The sequence below is a fragment of the Homo sapiens genome, chromosome 5, assembly GCF_000001405.40.
Source record: "Homo sapiens chromosome 5, GRCh38.p14 Primary Assembly".
Taxonomy (NCBI): domain Eukaryota; kingdom Metazoa; phylum Chordata; class Mammalia; order Primates; family Hominidae; genus Homo; species Homo sapiens.
In genome coordinates, this window is record NC_000005.10 from 14,888,362 (window position 1) to 14,910,688 (window position 22,327).

The 22,327-nt window shown below is 43.5% G+C and overlaps 1 long non-coding RNA gene across 1 annotated transcript; it reads left to right on the top strand.

Annotated features, from left to right (window-relative positions):
* The first annotated feature begins 470 nt into the window (after positions 1-470).
* On the top strand, positions 471-4,684 carry LOC105374661 (uncharacterized). The gene is made up of 3 exons (XR_001742498.2): positions 471-662; positions 1,149-1,283; positions 4,002-4,684. It is a non-coding gene; the product is annotated as an uncharacterized LOC105374661 (long non-coding RNA).
* Positions 4,685-22,327: the final 17,643 nt, after the last annotated feature.

The following is a 22,327-nucleotide window of genomic DNA, read 5'->3' on the forward strand; positions in this document are numbered from 1 at the left end:
GTTTCTGACTGTATGTTCTTAAAATGTCTCAATAATCCGAACATAGATTTTCAAATCTGGGTTTCCTAATCCAAAGCCAAATGGATTGAGAATAGGTTTTATAGGCCATTGGTGCCAATACATATTTCTAGATGATGGTTATAAAACAAAATATTTTTTTTAAATTTTTTTGAAGCAGAGTCTCCCTCTGTTGCCTGGGCTGGAGTGCAGTGGTGTGATCTTGGCTCACTGAAACCTCTGCCTACTGGGCTTAAGTGGCCCTCCCACCTCACCCTCCCAAGTAGCTGGGACCACAGGCACATGCTAATTTTTGTATTTTTGGTAGAGATGGGGTTTTGCCCTGTTGCCCAGGCTGGTCTCACCTAAGCTCAAATGAACCACCCACCTCTGCCTCCTAAAATGCTGGGATTACAGGCGTGAGCAACTGCACCTGCCAAGATTCTTAATTTCAGTGTAAATTCGTTTCCTAGGGCTTCCACAACAAGTTACCAAACCCTGGGTGGCTTAAAACAACAGGATTTCAGGTTCTCGTCATCTGGAGGTCTGAAGTCTGGAGTCAAGGAATCAGCACGGCTCTGCTCACTCCGAAGGCTCCAGGAGAGAACCTTTCTTTGCTTCTTCCAGCATCTGGTGGCTGCAGGCATTCCCTGGATTGTGGCAAAGTAAATCCCTTTTCTGCTTCTGTCTTTATATGGTTTCTTCTCTGTGTGTTAAATCTGTCTCTGCCTTTCTTTGATGAGGACACTGTGATTGGATTTAGGGCCCACTCTAAATACCAGATGGTCTCATTTTGAGATCATTAGTTATGTCTGCAAACACCATTTTCCAAATAAGATCATATTCACAAGTTTTGATGCTTAGGATTTGAATATATGTTTTGGGGTCACCGTATTTTGGGGACATATATTTATGGATCACTATTGGGGTGACCCATAGTGGATCACCATTCCACCCGCTGTACCATGTTACCCCTGAAGGCCGTGGGAAGGAATTAGAGGTTTGGGTGTGGTCTTCCTCTGATGTCCACTTCTTAAAGGTTTGCACACAATACCACATTCAAGATAATATCATACACATGTGTAAGTAGTCTAGCAAAACAAATGAGAGATAGAGAATGAGGTGGTTCACTTTGTCATCCCTCCTTGCAGGTGTGTGGTGCAACAGCAGAGTGGAAAGAGAATGTGTGGATCAGACATACCTGGGTGGAAACTGACTTTACCAACGACTGGCTGGCTGCAAGACCTTGGCGATTATCCTTAACCTAGCCTCAGTCTCAACCTGTGGTAACTGAGTCCTAATCCTGACCTCAGAATGTCCTGTCCCTGGGAAATTAGAGGTGCCAAATGTGGAACCCCTTGCACAATGCCTACACGATTCCACAAATGTCAGTGTCTCCCTTCTTTCCGTGCTGAGCCAGGATGCCTGTCTTCCCTCCTGGTGCCATTTCAGCATTTAGTTTTTCATCCTTGGAGCTCCCCAGCTACAGGAAGAAGCAGGAGCCGTGGTCTGGCTCCTCATATCTTTGGCCAGTGAGTCTGCTCGAGCCCTCTGTTCCACCAGGATGCTTCCAGTCCACGTATGCAGTCCTTCCTCTTTGGCTGCCTCTGTCTCTTGCCCAGAGACTGTAGTAGCTTTTCTCATCTGTTCGTTGAGACCCCCTGGTATTCAGCCTATCTCCTCCGTAAGGCATCCAGTAGTCTTGTGAGGAATACAAGGATAAGTCCCATAGTCCTTGCCTGAGGGATGGGACCCTGTTGATGGCTTCTGATGTCTCTGAGCTAGTTCATGAGGGGAATCCCAAGCTGGGCTTCGGGAGGCTGTGTGTGAAGTGGATTTAAGGGGCAAAGAATTGGAAGCAGCAAGGAGTAGGCCTGTCTGGCAGTTTAGGAACTGTGGACTGAACGAGGCTGCTGGTAACGGGAATGAAAAAGAAGGGTCTGGAGATAGGAGCCACAGGTTATGTGGTTGATTGGTGCTGGGCCATGGGCCATCCGAGTGGTGCAGGTGGTACCATCTTCTCAGCTGTGGTGAATGGCGGGCTATTCGGCTTGAGGAAGGAGCCCTGGACTACTGTGTGTGAGCCCAGCAGGTCCCCTAATGTCTCTGAGCTCCTCTGTAAAATAATAAATAAATAAATAAATAAAACAAGCAAACAAACAAACACAAAGCCCCAGAAACTATAGGTTGTTTGGAAATATAACTAAGATCATGGGCATAGGTCCAAGTAAATGTTATTAAATTCCATTGTTCTTTTGTAACATAATATAGGGCAATTTTAAGTTAGACACCTCTAGGGCAGAGAGCCCTTCTCTCGTTCCACCATCATTATCCTTTAAGACATCTAGAGGAGCAATGAATGCGATCAAATGAAGGTAAAGTAATTTCAAATCAGTACCAAGGCTCTGATGCCCATCATATCCCGTCCAGTTGTTGACTTTTTTCACAAGAATTGGGCTGGGGCAGCGCTTCCCAAACCCTAATGGATTTCCCAATCCCCTGGGGATCTTGTTAAAATTCAGACTTGAATTCAGCCATTGTTGGCCAGGGCCCAAAATTCTGCATTTCTAGCAAATTCCCAGGTGATGCCAACATTGCAGCTCAGAGGACCACACTGTGAGTGGCAGGAGTGAGGTAGCACCCGGGATTCAGTCATTCAAATACTCTACGCCCCCAGGATTTCTTGAAAGCTATCAGCTGCAACTTCTCTCTCCTTTTTCACTGAAAGCTCATCTTCTTCTTCTTTTTTTTTTTTTTTTTTTTTTTGTCTTGAGACAGAGTCTCGCTGTGTCACCCAGGCCGGAGTGCAGTGACACAATCTCGGCTCACTGCAACCTCTGCCTCCCAAGTTCAAGTGATTCTCCTACCTCAGCCTCCTGAGTAGCTAGGACTACAGACATGCGCCACCACAGTTAACTTTTGTATTTTTAGTAAAGATGGGGTTTCACCATGTTGGCCAGGCTGGTCTCAAACTCCTGACCTCAAGTGATCCATCTACCTCAGCCTCCCAACGTGCTGGGATTATAGGCATGAGCCACCTCTCCTGGCCTCATCTTCTTCAGGTCAGAATTGACAGAGAAGAATTTTCTTAGGGCAACTCATATAGAAGGGAGCCAGGGAGGCAAAGGAAAATTACTGCTTTGAGGAAAGCCATTTCTTCAAGCAGTTAACACAGTGACCCAGGATTACAGAAGGAAGTTTAGTCTGCCAGACTTTCATCCACATGTTTTAGGTATAGCAGTATGACTTCGTCTGATTCTCATCTGAAAGCCTAATTGATAATTTTGTTTTGTTTTAGTCTTATGTCCTATAAGATTTTCCTTAGATTCCACCTCCTCTGAGAGGCCTCTCCTTTTCTATTTTTTCTTCCTAACTCTCAATCCTCTATAACAGGGACCCCCAGTGCCCAGGGTTGTGGACCTGTACTGGTCTGTGGCCTGTTAGCAGGAGGTGAGTGGCAGGCAAGTGAGCATGACCGCCTGAGCTCTACCTCCTTCACATAGTGGTGGCACTAGATTCTCATAGGAGTGAAAACCCTATTGTGAACTGCAGATGCAAGAGACGCAGGTTGCATGCTTCTTATGAGAATCTAACTAATGCCTGATGATCCAAGGTGGAACAGTTTTATCCTGAAACCAACCTCCCCTACTCCATCTGCGGAAAAATTGTCTTCCATGAAACCGGTCCCTGGTGCCAAAAAGGTTGGGGACCGCTGCTCTATAATCTCCTTGGCCTCCAGTATCTGCCTGTATCCTAACTCTGGCTTCCCTGTATCTGGCCACCCTTTTGTGGGTCTCCTTCAGAGCATAATCTCCTTGAAGGCAGAAAGGAGACTCTAGACCCTGTAGTCAGGGGTCTTAGAGAATGTCTGGCATATTCATAGACACTCCAGGTCTAGTAACAGTTATATCAATAGTTATAAATTTGTTGAAGCAAAGACCCTTCACTAATCCTCATTTAATCCTAACATCGTGATGAATTTTTGCTGTCTCTCCATTTTGCAGACACGGCAATGGCAGCTTAGAGAGGTTAAGCTACTTGAGTCACACCCGTGTCAGGTGGAGGAGCTGAACCTTGGATGCAGGAGTATCCGTTTCTACTGTCTCAACTCTTCCTAACTGCTTTGGAATGACAGAATGAGGAAATGCACCCAACGTGAATTTTGCGTTCACCATTACCTGCAAAATGTCAGTGGCTAATGCCAGCTTTGGCTGACTGTCCTGATATCCAGAGCAATGGTTCCTAAATTTTGGTCCACGGTCCAGTGCCAGCTTAGGACCAAGGATTCACAGTCTTTGATGTGAGGAAAATAAGAACATAAAATTGGCCAGGCGTGGTGGCTCACGGCTGTAATCCCAACAATTTGGGAGGCCCAGGCGGGCAGATCACCTGAGGTTGGGAATTCAAGACCAGCCTGACCAACATGGTGAAACCCCATCTCTACTAAAAATACAAAAACTAGCTGCGCATGGTCGCGCATGCCTGTAATCCCAGCTACTCAGGAGGCTGAGGCAGGAGACTCACTTGAACCCGGGAGATGGAGGTTGCAGTGAGCTGAGATCACACCACTGCACTCCAGCCTGGGTGACAGAGCGAGACTCCATCTCAAAACAAACAAACAAACAAACAACAAACAAAAAACCCATAAAATTAAATGTATTAAATTAAAGAACTGCCTTAACTATGAGATCATGTTCATTCATTTTTGAGAGTCAAGTGACCCTTCCTTTCATGAAATAATGGTGATACCCTGAGGTCAGGAGTTCAAGACCAGCCTGGCCAACATGGTGAAACCCTGTCTCTACTAAAAATACAGAAATTAGCCGTATGTGGTGGCAGGTGCCTGTAATCGCAGCTACTCGGGAGGCTGAGGCAGGAGAATCTCTTGAACCTGGGAGAGGGGCTGTTGCAGTGAGCCAAGATCACACCACTGCACTCCAGCCTAGGCAACAGAGCGAAACTCCATCTCAAAAATAAATAAATAAATAAATAAATGAAATAATGGTGATAGGAATTCGTAGTTTTGTTGTTGTTGTTATTTTTGTTTTTAAGTGCTCTTACTTGGCAAAATAAACTTATCATACTGAGTTGAAATCCCACTTTTTTTAGATTGCTGTGGAATCCCAATGCCTGAGAATGATTGCTATGGAGAAAGGAGGAAGTAATAAAGTCCTGGGCCTCTGAGAGCAAATAGGGAGGTGCCTTTAATGGATGATTTTAGTGGAGACTGCAATAAAAATTCCTGTTCATAAATATCACCTTTTCCACTGTGCCCAGCTTACTTTGAGTAGCCCTTGAAAATAGGACCTAAAATTCATGAAAGGACCTCCCCTTTTATTTGAACAAAATGACTGGGGGCTTTGTCTTTGAAAAAATTCTGTTCAAATGGGCACCCTGCTAGGGTGACTTGGATGGGAAGAGGATGTGGGTGTTATGCGCCTTTTTCCCACTAGCACATTGTCTCAGTCCTTTTGGGCTGCTCTAACAAGATACATAGACTGAGTGCTTTGACACAACAGAAATTTATTTCCCATAGTTCTGGAGGCGAGGAAGTTCAAGATCAAAGTGCCCATAGTTTGGGTGTTTGGTGAGGGCTGGATTTCTTCCTCAAAGGTGGTGCCTTCTTGCGGTGTCCACATGGCAGGAGGGGTGAACAGCTTCCCTCAGGCTTTTTTCTTTTTTTTTCTGAGATGGTGTTTCGCTCTTGTTGCCCAGGCTGGAGTGCAGTGGCGCGATCTCAGCTCATTACAACCTCTGCCTCCCGGGTTCAAGTGATTGTCCTGCCTCAGCCTCCCAAGTAGCTGGGATTACAGGCATGTGCCGCCATGCCTGGCTAATTTTGTATTTTTAGTAGAGATAGGGTTTCACCATGTTGGTCAGGCTTGTCTGGAACTTCTGATCTCAGGTGATCCACCTGCCTTGGCCTCCCAAAGTGCTGGGATTACAGGTGTGAACCACCGTGCCTGGTCAAGACCTTTTTTTATAAGGGCCTCAATCTTATTTCTGAGGGTGGAGCCCTCATGACATCATCATCTCCCAAAGACCTCACCTCCTAATGCCATCACCTTGGGGATTTGGTTTCAACATATGAATTCTGTGGGGACATAAACATTCAGACCACAGCACACAGGTGACTTAATTTTCTTGGAAATGATAGGAACTCTTGCTTGGGGAGTGTACATTTCTAAAGGATTTGAGCAAGGCAGCCAAAATTTCTGGGTAGGGGGATGGATAGGAAGTGAGGAGGGGGTTGGGTGTGGGGAGACTAGAGCGCTGCCTAGGAAGGCCAAGGGTATTTAGCTGAGAGAACAGGGGTAGTGAGAGAAAGTCTTACGAAGGGGATGCCCAGAGGGATATTGAACAAATGCAAAGAGAGACAATAAAAGGATGGGGAAACCAGATTTTACCTGCTGATCTACCTTGAAGCAAAAACCCAAACCAAAATAAACACAGAAACCAAAAAGCAAAACTTCCACGATATCATCAGAAATGGGGCATTTCCACATGGAGTGGCAGATGAGCTGATGGAATTCTTAGTTTCTCTACTTCAGGAAGAATAGAGTAATGAGGGATGTCTTTCTCACTGTGTTCATATCATTGTCTGATGAGTAGAATGACTGACATGATAAATGCAGGTAATTACAATCTTTTTCTTACGCACATTTCACAACATTCAGCCCTACACAACAGAATTGATCTTGTACTCAAGACTGCAAAAAAAAAATCCTTGTATGGCTGGGTGCGGTGCCTCACACCTGTAATCCCAGCACTTTGGGAGGCTGAGGTGGATGGATCGCCTGAGGTCAGGAGTTTGAGACCAGCCTGGCGAACATGGTGAAGCAATGTCCCTACTAAAAATACAAAAACTAGCTGGGCATGGTGGTGGGCACCTGTAATCCCAGCTACTTGAGTGGCTGAGGCAGAATTGCTTGAACCCAGGAAGCGGAGGTTGCAGTGAGCCAAGATCGAGCCATTGCACTCCAGCCTGGATCACAAGAATGAAACGCCACCTCAAAAAAAAAAATTCCTTGTATAATGCAGTAGATCACAGAATATAATGTAGTTATCCATGTACCGTGACCCCAGAAAGGGATTGGTGTGTGGCTGATCTCATCTTTATTGCCCCCTGGGTGAGTCATGAATCATTGCACCCAAGAAACTCTGACACACTTTCTAGCAAGTAGTATTCACCATCACTATAGTATAACTACCATTCACTGCCAAGTAGTGCAAAAATTAAAAAAGAAACAGCCGCCTTTATGAGGTAACAAGCTTTAGAGCAACAGCAGATTGTGTGTGATTATAGCAACTGAAATGACCTTGCCGTGTAATGGGCTTATGATATCTGTTGTATAGTGGCTTTTTTTCTGAGCCATATAAAGTTGAAATTAGCAATGGTCAAGTATCAAATCTGCTGGCATTTCACAACTGTAAATGTTTCAGTAATTAAAAGGAGACAAGGACTCTGGCTGTCAAAGGAAAGAATGGCCCAGGAATACATATATATATATATATATATATATACACACATATATATATATATATATTTTTTTTTTTTTTAACTGAGACTTGTTCTGTTGCCCAGGCTGGTGCGATCTTGGCTCACTGCAACCTCCGCCTCCTGGGTTCAAGCAATTCTTCTGTCTCAGCTTCCCGAGTAGTTGTGACTAGAGGTGCGCGCCACCACGTCTGGCTAATTTTTGTATTTTTAGTAGAGACGGTGTTTCAACATATTGGTCAGGATGGTCTCGAACTCCTGACCTCATGATCCACCCACCTGGGCCTCCCAAAGTGCCGGGATTACAGGCATGAGCCACCGCTCCCAGCCTTTTTTTTTTTTTTTTTTTTTGAGACAGAGTCACAGTCCTGACCCAGGACAGTCTCGCTTTTCTCCATTGAGGCAGGGGAGAGGCGAGGCCATAAAGAGGGCAATGAGATAAGAATAGGAGGCAGCAGAGGAGTTCAGGGTGTGGACTTTAGAGTTGCACTGTCTGGGTTTGGGTCCAGCTCGGCCTCTTACCAGCTGTGTGACCTTGAGCAAGTTACCTAACCTCTCCACGCCTCATTCCCCCAAGTGAAAAATGGGAATAACCATGGTACTAAGTCATAAGGTTGTTGTGAGAATTAAACAAGTTTATAAGGTGGTTGTGTTCAGCATACTACGCAAATGAATGTTTGCTACTTCTGAAGGAGGCATAGCAGGAAAACTGCTCTAGATGGATGTAGCAGCCAGCAGTTGAAGCTATTGGTGCAAAGGTGGAGGGCAGATTGGAAGGTGCCTGGGAAGTGATGTCTTGTCTGGACTAAATACCCGAGATTTGTTGTCTCATGGCCATAGAAAACTAGGATGCAGACACACAAAGAGTGAGGTTCAGAGCAGAAGTCTAATAGGTGAAAGAGAAGAGCTCTTTGGGGCAGAAGAGGTCCCGGAGAAATGGGTTGCTGCTTCTGCAGTGAAATACAGAGGATTTTATAGATGAGCTTGAGGAGGTGGTGTCTGATTTACATAGGGCACAAAAGATTGGTTGGACCAGGTGTTCCACTTGCATAGGTGTGAAAAACTGGTTAGGGCTAAGTATGTCATTTGCATAGGGCATGAAAACCTGGCCACCCTCACCCTAATATTTTATTATGCAGATGGATTCTCCACCTTGTTGGAGCCATGTTTTTTTATTTTTTGAGACGGAGTCTCGCTCTGTCGCCCAGGCTGGAGTTCAGTGGTGTGATCTCGGCTCACTGCAAGCTCCACCTCCCGGGTTCAAGCTATTCACCTACCTCAGCCTCCTGAGTAGCTGGGATCACACGCGGCCACCATCGCGCCCGGCTAATGTTGTATTTTTTAGTAGAGATGGGGTTTCGCCTTGTTGGCCAGGCTGGTCTTGAATTCCTGACCTCAGGTGATCCACCTGCCTCGGCCTCCCAAAGTGCTGGGATTACAGGCCTTTGCCACCGCGCCCGGCTGCCTGTTTCTTTACTGTACACCTGGTGACAAAAGGAAGATGGAGCCTCCATGTTGAACATACCTGGACCCCAGGTAGCCCTTTTCTATTGGCACAGCAGCCGGTGTTCACCGGTGCAAGCTTCCAGCTTGCTTATCTATGTTAACAGCTCGATTTTTCAGGTTACCCTTTGTTAGAAAAGAAATAATTTTGGGGCTGTTTTTGTTAAAAGGGAAATTCCGGCCGGGCGAGGTGGCTCACGCCTGTAATCCCAGCACTTTGGGAGGCCGAGGCCGGCGGATTGCCTGAGCTCAGGAGTTTGAAACCAGCCTGGGCAACATGGCGAAACCTGGTTTCTACTAAAAAGGAAAAAAAAAAATAGCCAGGCGTGGTGGCGGGCGCCTGTAATCCCAGTTGCTGGGGAGGCTGAGACAGGAGAACTTGAACTCGGGAGGCGGAGGTTGCAGTGAGCCGAGATCGCGCCACTGCACTCCACCCTGGGAGAGAGAGTGAGACTCTGTCTCGAAAAAAAAAGGAATTCCGCCGAGGACTCTGTTGCCCTTACTATCTGCTTAAATAATTTCTTTCTAGCTCCTGTATCACCTGGTCAGGGATCTCTGGGTCCTTGCACCACCTTCACAGCATCATAGAGGGCCCGAGGCAGGTGGCCTCTGGAGGGCCCTCCCGACAATGAGCAAGAAACCCAAGTCTGGGGAGGGGAAGCGTCCTCTTCACCAGACTTAGCAGTATCCTCCCTCATTTTCTCTACGGTTTGTATTGTTGGTGTTTTAAATGTAAAGACCTTTTTCCTGATTATGAAGGTCCGGAGTAACTGCAGCATTATTTGTAATAGCTAAAAATTGGATGCAACCTAAATGAATCATTCCCATAAATGTTCATTCCCCATAAGGGAATGAACAAGCTAATGATGGGATATTTGTTTGAGAAATACTCCACAGCAGTTAAAATAAATGAATTGCTTCAATACAGAGCATCCTGAGTGGCTCTCAAAAATCTAATGTTTAGTGAAAAAAGTAAGTCACAGTGTGATAAAATTTGTGTAAATTTTGAAGAACACCAAGAGGAACACTATGGGATGTTTATGAAGGCAGAAACTTCTAGGAAAGTGTGCAAACAGTCCGGGTACTGTGGCTCATGCCTGTAATCCCAGCACTTTGGGAGGCTGCGGCGGACAGATCACTTGAGGTCAGGAGTTTGAGACCAGCCTGGCCAGCATGGTGAAACTCCATCTGTACAAAAATACAAAAATTAGCCGGGCATGCTGGCGCGTGCCTGTAGTCCCAGCTACTTGAGAGGCTGAGGCAGGAGAATTGCTTGCACCTGGAAGGTAGAGGTTGCAGTGAGCCAAAATCATGCCACTGCACAGCCTGGGCGCCACAGCGAGACTCTGTCTCAAAAAAAGAAAAGTGTGCAAACACAGACTAGAAGGCTGCATGCTCAGGAAGAGAGAGAGGGGTCTGGGATGGGGAGCAAAGAAGACTGAAACTCCATCGATGATATTCCATTCCTTTATTAGATATCTGAAGTGAAAACAAAAGTTAATTCTGGGTAGGAGAGTCATTATTTTTCTGTTTAAAACTTTCCCCTATTAAAAATTTGTTCATGCCCACATTAGAAAATTTAGAAAATACATTTATTTTATTTATTTATTTATGTTTTGAGACGGAGTTTCGCTCTGTCGCCTAGGCTGGAGTGCAGTGGTGCGATGTTGGCCCACTGCAAGCTCCGCCCCTGGGTTCATGCCATTCTCCTGTCTCAGCCTCCTGAGTAGCTGGGACTACAGGTGCACACCACCATGCCCAGCTAATTTTTGTATTTTTTTTTTAGTAGAGACGGGGTTTTACCGTGTTAGCCAGGATGGTCTTGATCTCCTGACTTTGTGATCCACCTGCCTCGGCCTCTCAAAGTGCTGGGATTACAGGTGTGAGCCACCGCCCTGCCTATTTTTATTTTTTATTATACTTTAAGTTCTAGAATACATGTGCAGAAAGTACAGGTTTGTTACATGGGTATACACGTGCCATGGTGGTTTGCTGCACCCATCAATCCGTCATCTACATTCGGTATTTCTCTTAATGCTATCCCTCCCCTAGCCCCCCACATCCCAACAGGCCCTGGTGTGCGATGTTCCCCTCCCTGTATCCATGTGTTCTCATTGTTCATCTCTCACTTATGAGTGAGAACATGCGGTGTTTTTTGGTTTTCTCTTCCTGTGTTAGTTTGCTGAGAATGATAGTTTCCAGCTTCATCCAAGTCCCTGCAAAGGACATGAACTGATCCTTTTTTATGGCTGCATAGTGTTCCATGGTGTATATATGCCACATTTCCCTTATCCAGTCTATCATTGATGGGCATTTAGGTTGGTTCCAAGTCTTTGCTATCGTGAACAGTGCTGCAATAAAAAAAAAGGGGCTGGGTGAAGTGGCTCATGCCTGTAATCCCCACACTTTGGGAGGCTGAGGTGGGTGGATCACCTGAGGTCAGGAGTTTGAGACCAGCCTGGCCAACATGGTGAAACCCCGTCTCTACTAAAAATACAACAACAAAAAAAATTTATCTGGGCATGGTGGCAGGAACCTGTTATCCCAGCTACTCAGGAGGCTGGGGCAAGAGAATCGCTTGAACTCAGGAGGCAGAGGTAGCAGTGAGCCAAGATCGCACCATTGCACTCCAGCCTGGGCAACAAGAGCAAGGCTCTGTCTCAAAAAAAAAGAAAAAAAGAAAAGAAAAGAAAAGAAAAAAGCATAAAAAATAAGTAACTAGCATTCAGATGTAATCACCATCAACACTTTTTTCTGCTGTGATGTGTGTAGATGTGCATTTGAAATTGTAGTGTATATATAGTTTTGTAAAATGCTTTTAAAATGTAATGTTTTATATTTTCCTATGTTAAATGTTCTGTTAACACATGCTTATCAGCAGCTACAAAATATTTCATCTTCTGTACACACCAAAATTTATTCTATCATTTTTCTACAGGTAGATATACAAACTGTTTCCAACCTTTTTGTCACTGTAAATAATGGGCTGTGAACATTGTACATGTCTGATTATTTCCTTAAGATATATTTCCTTAAGATACATTTCTCTCTCTCTATATATAGATATATTTATATTTAATATTATATTTATATTTAATATATATATTTCTCTATATATTTCTATATTTCTTAAGAAATATATCCTTAAGATATATTTCTAGGAAGAAATGCCGGCCAGACAGGTTCAAAGTGTATGGGCATTTTTAAGGCAATTGATACGCATTATCAAACTGGTTTCCCAAAAGGTTGAATCAATTTAAGCCTCTTTAATTGGGTATCAAGTCGCCTGAACTCACCCCACCTCTATAGCAAATTTGTTTTTCCTGGGCCTCTGGGCTTATTTTCTTTTGGATTTCCTCTAGCAGTGGTTCAGACCTCAGGAAGGGAGTGGCTTCTGGCTGGAGAACAGGCTTGGTGGGCGATTTCCCTAATATTTGCTCCTGTGGGAACCTCAGAGCCAACCCCCTCCCTCCGATGATTTCAGTCACTTCCAGTCATTAGGTTGAAGGCCTGTCTTGTTACTGCTCACCACCTCCTACGCTGCGGCTGACACATGTACTGGAGCCCTTCAGAGAGGAAGGACAACCCGTTATTTGGTAGTTTGCTGTCTTATAGGAAGCTAGGGACAATACTCAGCAAAAACACAGATTCACCCTAAGTGGCTGTGCCTTTCTAACTGTCATAATCCAGCCCTGATGTTCACCGTCACTGCCAAAAATCCTTTCCAAATGGGAACTCTGCTCCCTATCTGAAACTGATTCTAGTTAAGGGGCCACTGATGAGTATCATCTGGCTCAGTAGGAGAACGAATGGCTTAGTCCTGGCCTGTTAACATTTACAGATATTTGTTATCACCCACATTCCAGGGAATTTGTTGACATAAGCCCCAACTATTTTGAAAGAGCATTCCACCTTGGGATACTGTACTGCTTTTAAACTTGTGTCTATATAAGGCAGGAATTATTTCACATTCGATGGTAAGATTTCCATCCATTCAACATTTAAAGTAAAAAAGTAGCTGCCTCCCACTGTTCTGAGGATACGTAGCTACAACCTCACCAAGACCAACAAGCCTGTCTGGTTTCCTCTCATGAGAACTCTCGAGCCTCCTTGACTTTCTTTCTGGCTCTCAAACACAGCACATTCCCCCAGCCTCGGGGCCTTTGCATGTGCTACTTCCTTTGCCTAGAATGGTCTCCTTCCTCCTAGAAATTGCTCCTGACTCAGCAGATTCCACTCCAGCACCCTCCTTTGCCCAGTCCTATTAGAATCCTTTAGAGGAACTCCAAAACCCCATCTGCAGGCAAGGCTGCCCTGATGCCCCAGACGAGGTCTGGACTCTGGTTTATATTATCACAGCATCTGGTGGTTTTGCTTGTGATGCTTTGCAGTTTGTAATTCTATGTTTATCTGTGTCATCAGCGTTGAATATCTGTCTCTCTCATTAGTGTGTGAGGTCTAGGCGGGAAGGGACAGCTTTTTCTTATCACCAAAAGCACGTGGCCACCAGCACAATGCCGGCCAGATAGGTGCTGAATTCATGCTTGCAAATGAGTAAATGGATACTGATATGCTGCAGCTGATGGCTGGGGTGGGGTTAGTGCAGTGACTGAGTGTCCTGGCACGCAGTGTTTATTTTATTTTATTTTTATTTTTTGCAGGGGGATACATTATTTCTCATGCCATATAAAAGTGCCTCTCAGGGTGGAGGTTTTTTTTTTTTTGAGACGGAGTCTTGTTCTGTCGCCCAGGCTGGAATGCAGTGGTGCAATCTCGGCTCACTGCAACCTCTGCCTCCCGGGTTCAAGCAATTCTCTGCCTCAGCCTCCTGAGTAGCTGGGATTACAGGAGCATGCCACCACGCCCAGCTAATTTTTGTATTTTAGTAGAGATGGGGTTTCACCATCTTGGCCAGGCTGGTTTTGAACTCCTGACCTCGTGATCCACCCACCTTGGCCTCCCAAAGTGCTGGGATTACAGGCGTGAACCACTGTGCCTGGCCAGATTCTGGGTGGATTTTCTTAACTTACTAGTGATGAGACTTTCTTACTACCTTGGCTTCAGTCTGATTTTAAAATGAGGATAATATCTTACATTTTCTTCATCCTAAGACACCACCGACTTTAAGATGATCATCATTTAATAACAACTTTTCAGTGAAAAAATCCAAACTAGACCAAATAAACAAATAAATAAGATAAAACACCTCACTATAGCTCCTGCATGTTGGTTTTAAAACACATATTGATTGTAAAACATACCCAATTTCCAGGCATGCTAACATGTTAAAAAAAATGAACATGTTTAGAATTTAGACAAAATGTGGCGATGCCTACCAAAAAGGATGACTGTTCAAAGAGATGATGCATGTTCATTGTTTTGCCACGTGCCTGGTATACCTGAAGCATTTATTACTGTGAATACTATCTTTTCCTTTGAAAGGGTTCACTTGTTTTCGGTCTGTGGGTTGTATATTCCTAAGGACATTAAAGGGCTCATGTCTTCTATTTCTTTATAAATTCCATCTCCCCTGCCCCCCGCCCAGTATTTGGTAAGCTATGATGAACACACCGTAGATATCAGTAGTGGAGACTGATGGAGGCATCCGTGCCATGAAGAGCAAGGCTGTTTTGGACCCTGCTTCCTGCTTGGGAGGAGTGAAGGGAATGAAGCCAAAAAGTGGGGAACTGGCCTTTCTCAGACCATCTGTGCTCAGGATCTGGCTCCTTTGCTAAACAATCAAGGGAAGAAAAGCCCCCTGTTTGGTGGGACTGCATTCTCTGTTGTGGTCAGGATGTTATTGTTGTCTTTTCTGTGTTTTCACGGAATAACATTACAGCATGTTTATTCTCAGAGATCTTTGTTGGCTGTTTCCAGTCCCACTGCCACCGCCTGGCCCAGGCCTTCATGACTTCTTGCTTGTCCCATGCAGTTACCTCCCAAAGAATTTCCCGCTGGTAGACATTCCTCTCTGCAGCTGGCCCGATTTAATTCAGACGAGATCGGGCATGTTCGGGGTGATACGGCGGTAGACTGACCCAATTTAATTCAATTCCATACAAATGAGCAAGGTAGTGTTGCTGGGCTCATCGTCTAAGTTGTGAAGATGCTCATCTCACTCCCCTGGTCTCCTGCAGAGACTGGTTAAGCTGCAAAGGCTAGTAGCCACAGAAAGCATTATTCTCATGAACACGTAGAGAATAAAGTATGGTCTGGTGAGCAAAGCTTTGCTTTCTGAAGTTGAGTCTCATTCCAACATCCTTGCGTTCCTTCTCTTCTCAGCCTTGATTTGTTCCTGACTTCCTGTCCAGCCTCAGGGTCTTGATTTGGTCAAGCCTCAGTTGCCTCTGATTTCTGGAAAAATCTCCTTTGCTTTTACCTCACTCAGCACACTGTCTAGGCTTGTCACACAGCACATGATTACATTTTCCTATTTTGGAATATACTCAGACAGGCACAAAGCTGATTTCTAGACTATAAACTCCTTGAGAGCAGGAGCTCCATCTCATTTATCTTTATATTGTAGTTTTTACAGGTAGCATGCATAAAATGAGTAAGTTGCTTAATGGTGACTGAAACATCAAAAGGAATTTATTATAGGGTTTCGACTCAGGTGCTAAAAAGCAGTAACAGGTATTTCTTTTTCTTCTTTTTCTTGATTTTTTTTTTTTTTTTTTTTTTGAGATGGAGTTTCCCTCTTGTTGCCCAGGCTGGAGTGCAATGGCGTGATCTTGGCTCACTGCAACCTCCGCCTCCCGGGTTCAAGCAATTCTCCTGCCTCAGCCTCCTGAGTAGCTGGGATTACAGACATGCACTACCATGCCTGGCTAATTTTGTCTTTTTAGTAGAGATGGGGTTTCTTCATGTTGGTCAGGCTGGTCTCAAACTCCCGACTTCAGGTGATCCATCTGCCTCTGCCTCCCAAAGTGCTAGGATTACAGCCGTGAGCCACCGCGCCCAGCTGTAACAAGGTATTTCTTATGTGTCCCATAAATTAAATCTAGGGGAAAAAACTATCCCTACACAGTGAAGGGATCTTTCTTTTGCAACAATCATTTTTTTGTGTGTGTGTTCTTCCTTTGAATTAATTTAATGGTGCAAAGGGGCCTTCTTTTCTCTGATGGGCAGAGGAGGGATGTATATACTGTCAGATTATGCTATTTTAGCAATGTGTCCATTCATGCATGTATCCAGTGCTCAGAATGCAGCCAGTATATATTTTAAAACCAACACTGGTGCTTTATGAAGGGTGGGTTGAATTCAGATGTAGGCGCAAGGAGCCAAAGGCAGGATCAGCTCTAGCTTGGTGACCTGGACTTAGGTCCCAGATGGGTGAGGCCAAGCCTTGCTGCCTTCTTCTCAGCGGTGGTTCCTGGGGCACAGAATGAGAATGCTAAACAGCTTCACCCTTAAGAACTACCAGCTTTCAAGGAAATGGGTAGCGCAGAGAATGGCTCTAAGCCAATGACCTTGCGGCATTTGGAAGCAGAAATTCACAGTGTTTCAGGTGCGCTAACAAAATAACTCGGTAAGCAACATAGCCTATTGGGGTTTCCCTATTACATTTTATGGAGTCCTCAAATTTTAGGTGATTTTTTGAAAATAATAATTTTTGGCACATTTAAAACTTATGTATGTATGGATGTAATTTCTAAATCCAATCTCTTCTTTTTTTCAGTAGACCAAATTAGATTGCCATCTTTATCTTGTGGCAGACATGTGTTTCCAAGTGCAAATGGTCACCTAACAAAAAACAATATGGTTTTACTGCCTGATAGATGATTTTCAGATTTTTGAAAATTATCAAAAAGTCAAAATAGCAATTTAAAATTTTAAAAAATGCGGAAAAGCCTTTGTAAATATTTGAATAGGCTCAGGGGCTAATGAATGTGGGTGTCAACCTCAGTGTGGAGTGGATTGAACTTCATGGTCTTGAGTGTCTTTCCTCCTCTCAGTATCTGCCTCTGCAGATATAAGACAGAAACAGAGATGACAGACAGCCTCTACACACTGAAAGGATGTGAAGTAAATACAATAATGCGTGGAAACATATCCTTAGACCAACGATCACGTCTAGGTTTGAATTAAGTCATGATCCTAGGTTGTCTTAGGTAATGTTCTTTCTGCATAGATCCCTTATAAAAAATTCCTTTCTCAGTGACAGATGACAAGAGCTCACCTGTCAAAAACTGTTCTGTAAAAATCATTTACCTTTCCATCCTTCTCTGCATTATTGTCTTTATTTTTCAGGCACTGCAAAAGTGGCCTCATTTTCAATGGCAGGTGTTAGCAGAGTGGTCATCCTGTCTGTGTGTGTTCCATGTCACCCCTACCTGCTGGTAGCCGTGAGTGGGTCCCCACTGCTGGAGACGTGGTTTTCTCTTCTCAGTGCTGGCCTCCCGGGTCATGGTAAGCCCTGGAATTTCTCCAAGGCAAAGAGGTTTTAGGGCAAGACACTCTCTCGTCTAATTTTTCTTGCATTATTTCAACTGGATACTAATAGAAACCAACAGGTGAGTAACCTCTTATCCACCTTTGGGAAATGCCTACCTGGTTTCCTAGATAGAAGCTATTTGATGAGAAATGTCATTCTGTAGTTCTTTCTGAGTCTTGCGATTTTTATCACAGCAAAGTTATTTGCCTTAAGGACTTTTCCAAACCCATTACTTTCCTATAAAATATCCTCAATTGAAATAATACACTTCTCGTTACGTAGTTACTTTCATTGCTGGAGACTCAAAAATACTTGAAAAATCTTTTAAACTCCTCTTCAAGGACTATTTTTACCACTGTAAAATTTACATATGGTGATATATAGCAACTGTTTTAATAGCTTACAGCCATATTAATAAAATCTAGATATAATAAGACAAAAAGGATTCTATATCTCAATAATAGTGCAGTGCTCACTTAGAAATGCTGAATAATCACTCTGGCTGGAATTGGAGCAGCAAAGGCACTATTTGAAGAGCATTATATGATGCCTAATGACCTAGAGAAAGTATGACCAAGCTTTCTATCTAATTGGAAAAACACCCTTCCTTCTGATCGGGTTTGTGGGGACAATTCTGCTGAATGCCACATTTTCTCATTTGCCTTTTTCTTACACTTACATAAGGGATGCCAGCTTTAGGGTAGATTTCATATAATCACTGGTGAAGTATTGCTTCTCAATCCTTTCCTCCTACACTGCAAAGCCCATCTTTGAAGGGTTCCAACCTTATGAACCCATAGGTCTGCTTAATCCATTGGAGCTGCCAACCTTGCAGGGGGTGTGATATGAGGGCTAACCTAGCCCAATGCTTTATCACTCTAGCCTCTCCAAAAATGCTACCATCCTTTAAAATAATACTTTGTAAAATTTCAGCACCGGTATGGTTTTGATACGTGTCCCCACCCAAACCTCATGTTGAGTCATAATCCCCAGTGTTGGTGGTGGGGCTTGGTGGGAGGTGATTGGATCATGGGGGCAGATTTCTCATGAATGGTTTAGTAGCATCCTCTTGGTACTGCCCTCAGGATAGTGACTGAGTTCTCATGAGATCAGCTCATTTAAAATTGTGTAGCACCTCCTCACCCGCTGTCTTACTCCTGCTCTGGCCATGTGATGTGCCTGGTCCCACTTCACCTTCTGCCATGATTGTAAGTTTTCTGAGGCCTCCCCAGAAGCTAAGCAGATGCCAACATCATCCTTCCTGTACAGCCTGCAGAATTAAGAGCCACTTAAACTTCTTTTTTATTATAAATTACCCAGTCTCAGGTATTTCTTTACAGCGATGCAGGAATGGACTGATACAAGCAACTTTTCTTTAATATATTGAAAATTGTGACACCTGTAATCCCAGCACTTTGGGAGGCTGAGGTGGGTGGATCACCTGAGGTCAGGAGTTCAAGACCATCCTGGCCAATATGGTGAAACCCTGTCTCTACTAAAAATACAAAAAATTAGCTGGGCATGGTGGTGGGTGCCTGTAATCCCAGCTACTTGGGAGGCTGAGGCAGGAGAATCGCTTGAACCCAGGAGATGGAGGTTGCAGCAAGTTGAGATTGCACCATTGCACTCCAGCCTGGGCAACAAGAGTGAAACTCCGTCTCCAGAAAAAAAAAATTGTGTTATAGCAAGTCATTTTTTAGTATTACATGTAAATACAGGTAACTATTTGCTCTATGTGAGTGTATACTACTACACTATATCACGAGAAAAGGAAACTCCACAAGAACTTGCTCTAGCAAAATGGGCTTTTCTAGAACCAATTTTTTTACTTAAAAATAGTTGATAAGTCAATGTTTAATTCCACCCACCCTTCCCCCCATGGAAGGACTTCCTGGGCATTAGGAATATTTTGTAATTACATAGTTATTTTATTCTTAGGATGTCAGTGCCTGAAATAATTCATTCCAATAGAGAAAGAATGTTTCGCTTCAACTTTAGCAGAAAATTGTGATTTTTACTTAAGATTGAAATCAAGTTGATGATAATTGTGTGGCTGAAATACCTAGCGTCTTTTATGTTTTTTATCATGCATTTTAACAAAGGATTTATATTGGTCTTAGTATTGTCCAACTGGTGCATATATATATATATATATATATGTTTAGTTAGTTATTATTTATTTCTTTATTTAGAGAAGAGTCTCACTTGTTGCCCAGGCTGCAGTACAGTGGTGTGATCTTGGCTCACTGCAACCTCTGCCTCCCAGGTTCAAGTGATTCTCTTGCCTCAGTCTCCTGAGTAGCGGGGACTACAGGCGTGCGCCACCACGCCTGGCTAATTTTTGTATTTTTAGTATAGATGAGGTTTCACCATGTTGGTCAGGTTGGTCTTGAACTCCTGACTTTGTGATCTGCCCGCCTTGGCCTCCCAAAGTGCTGGTATTAGAGGCGTGAGCCACCGTGCCCGGCCTGGTATATTTTTACCCAAGGACTAGATTATTAGTTGCTAGTGGGTAAGGAAAACAACTTAAAATTCCTTTGCAAGTTGTCTTTCAGCACATGGAGAGGTGGGAGTGCAGCCCATACTTACCGTAGGAGATAAGCCAGATGTCTGGCACTGAAATGAAACATCTGTCAGCATTTGATTGTGTCATAGACAATGCCCTTGCCACACCCATACATTAATGCTCGAAGAAAAACTGTGGCATGTATATAATGGAATGTAGGTGGGCCAAATGAAAACAAAGATTTAAGGATTCTGGAGATCATATTTATACTTTTGTTACTATTTCTTTTTTTGAAATGTGCGTGAAGGAATTAACAATTATATAGTAATATAAAAATTATCCTGTGAATGAACCCGGTAATATGACATGTAACTTGACAACGAGTGGTGATAAATAATTGCTCTAGGCTTCTTCAGTTTTTTTTTTTCTTAGATTCCCTTCCTACCAATATGCTCTGTCTGTGAGACACCAGATCTTCTATAAGGCTGTGGTCTATGGTTGCACTTCCCCAGTGGATTATTCTTCTCAGAACTCTAGTGTCTCATGAAATGATATGTTAATAGTTATTTCACGAAAAAAGGAGATATGCATGCATGCAGACGATCTCTGACTTTTGATGGTTTGACTTAATTTTTGTACTTTACAGTGGGTTTATGAAGGTATTAAATGCATTTTTGACTCAATGTTATTTTCAATTTATGATTGGCTTAATTTATGATTGGCTTAATAGGACATAACCCTATCATCACTTCAAGAGCATCTCTCTCTCTCTCTCTCTGTGTATATATATGTATATGTGTGTGTGTGTGTATATATATGTATATGTGCGTGTGTGTGTGTGTGTGTGTATAAGTGTCTCACAAAAAGACTTATTATAAGGAATTGGCTTGTGTGATTATGGAGGCTAGCAAGTCCCAAATTTGTGATATGAGCTGGCAGGTTCAAGACTCAGGAGAGCCAATGGTGCAGATGAAGTTTGGAGGCAATTTATTGAAGAATTCCCTCTTGCTTTGGGAGGCCAGTCTTTTTGTTCTGTTCAGGCTGCTTGAATGAGACCCACCACATTATGGAGAGCCAGCGCTTACTCAAAGTTCACTGACTTAAATGTTAATCTCCTCCAAAAACACTCTTCAAATTGGCACATAAAATTAACCATCACACTGGCAAAAAACAAGGGGTGGTGGGAGTGGGAGGGAGAGAAACACGGCATGTTATGCATGTTACAGTCTCCTCCTGGAGGGAGAATCACAATACACATGAACATAAAGGCCCTGAGAAGTCCTGCAGTGAAGATGTCTTTTTATATTTGTATGACCCCATCTTTCCCAAATTTATTTGCTCATGGAAACTCCCCCTGCCCCCAATGTTTTTTCTGTGAAAATGTATTACCATTGTGCTAGATTACTAATGTTCAGGGGAACACAGTTTAAAAAAAACTGGTCTATGGGACACTATCTGTTCTGGCAACTGGATCATTTGGAGATAAATTGATAATATCAGCTTCATTAACTGAACCTAGTAGCCTAGATGGGCATTTATCCATTTAATGTATTGGCTATATACTCAAGTGTATATAGAGGGTCTCCTGCATGAGATTCCATACACGATGGGTAACGTGTGAAACACTAGTGCACTTACAAGTATCATCACCACTAACACAAAATAAGCATCTGAGAAAGATGCCAAAATAAAGAATCATAAGTAAAGAAAAACAACATCGCCACTTGCATATTCATAGGCTTATGATGTATATATTTTTTAACTCAGGGAAAAACAAAGCATCTTTAATCCTATCGTCCTGGAAAACTTGAGTATCTCAATGCAGAAAGGCATGAAAATATCTTTTTTTATTTTTTTTTCGAGATGGAGTCTCGCTCTGTTGCCCAGGCTAGAGTGCAGTGGCATGATCTTGGCTCACTGCAAACTCCACCTCCCGGATTCACGCCATTCTCCTGCCTCAGCCTCCTGAGTAGCTGGGATTACAGGTGCCTGCCAGCACGCCCAGCTAATTTTTTGTATTTTTAGTAGAGACAGGGTTTCACCATGTTAGCCAGGATGGTCTCGATCTCCTGACCTCGTGATCCGCCCGCCTTTGATAAAATTTTCTGAAGCCTACATTCAAGTATGTGACAATCCTAGGTGAATCACTGAAACTCTCAAGCTGTATAATTTTATATGAAAACAAATGGTAAATTTGTACAGTTAATTCTTAGATGACTATCACGTTGAGATAGTAATCATCTCACCATGAATGTTACTAGGTTGGTGCAAAAGTAATTGTGTTTTTTGCCATTTGAAAGTAATGGCAAAAACCACAATTACTTTTGCATCAGCCTAATAACTCCTTTTTGTCCCTTTCTCCTTTATCCATCCCCAGTCATTAACTCTG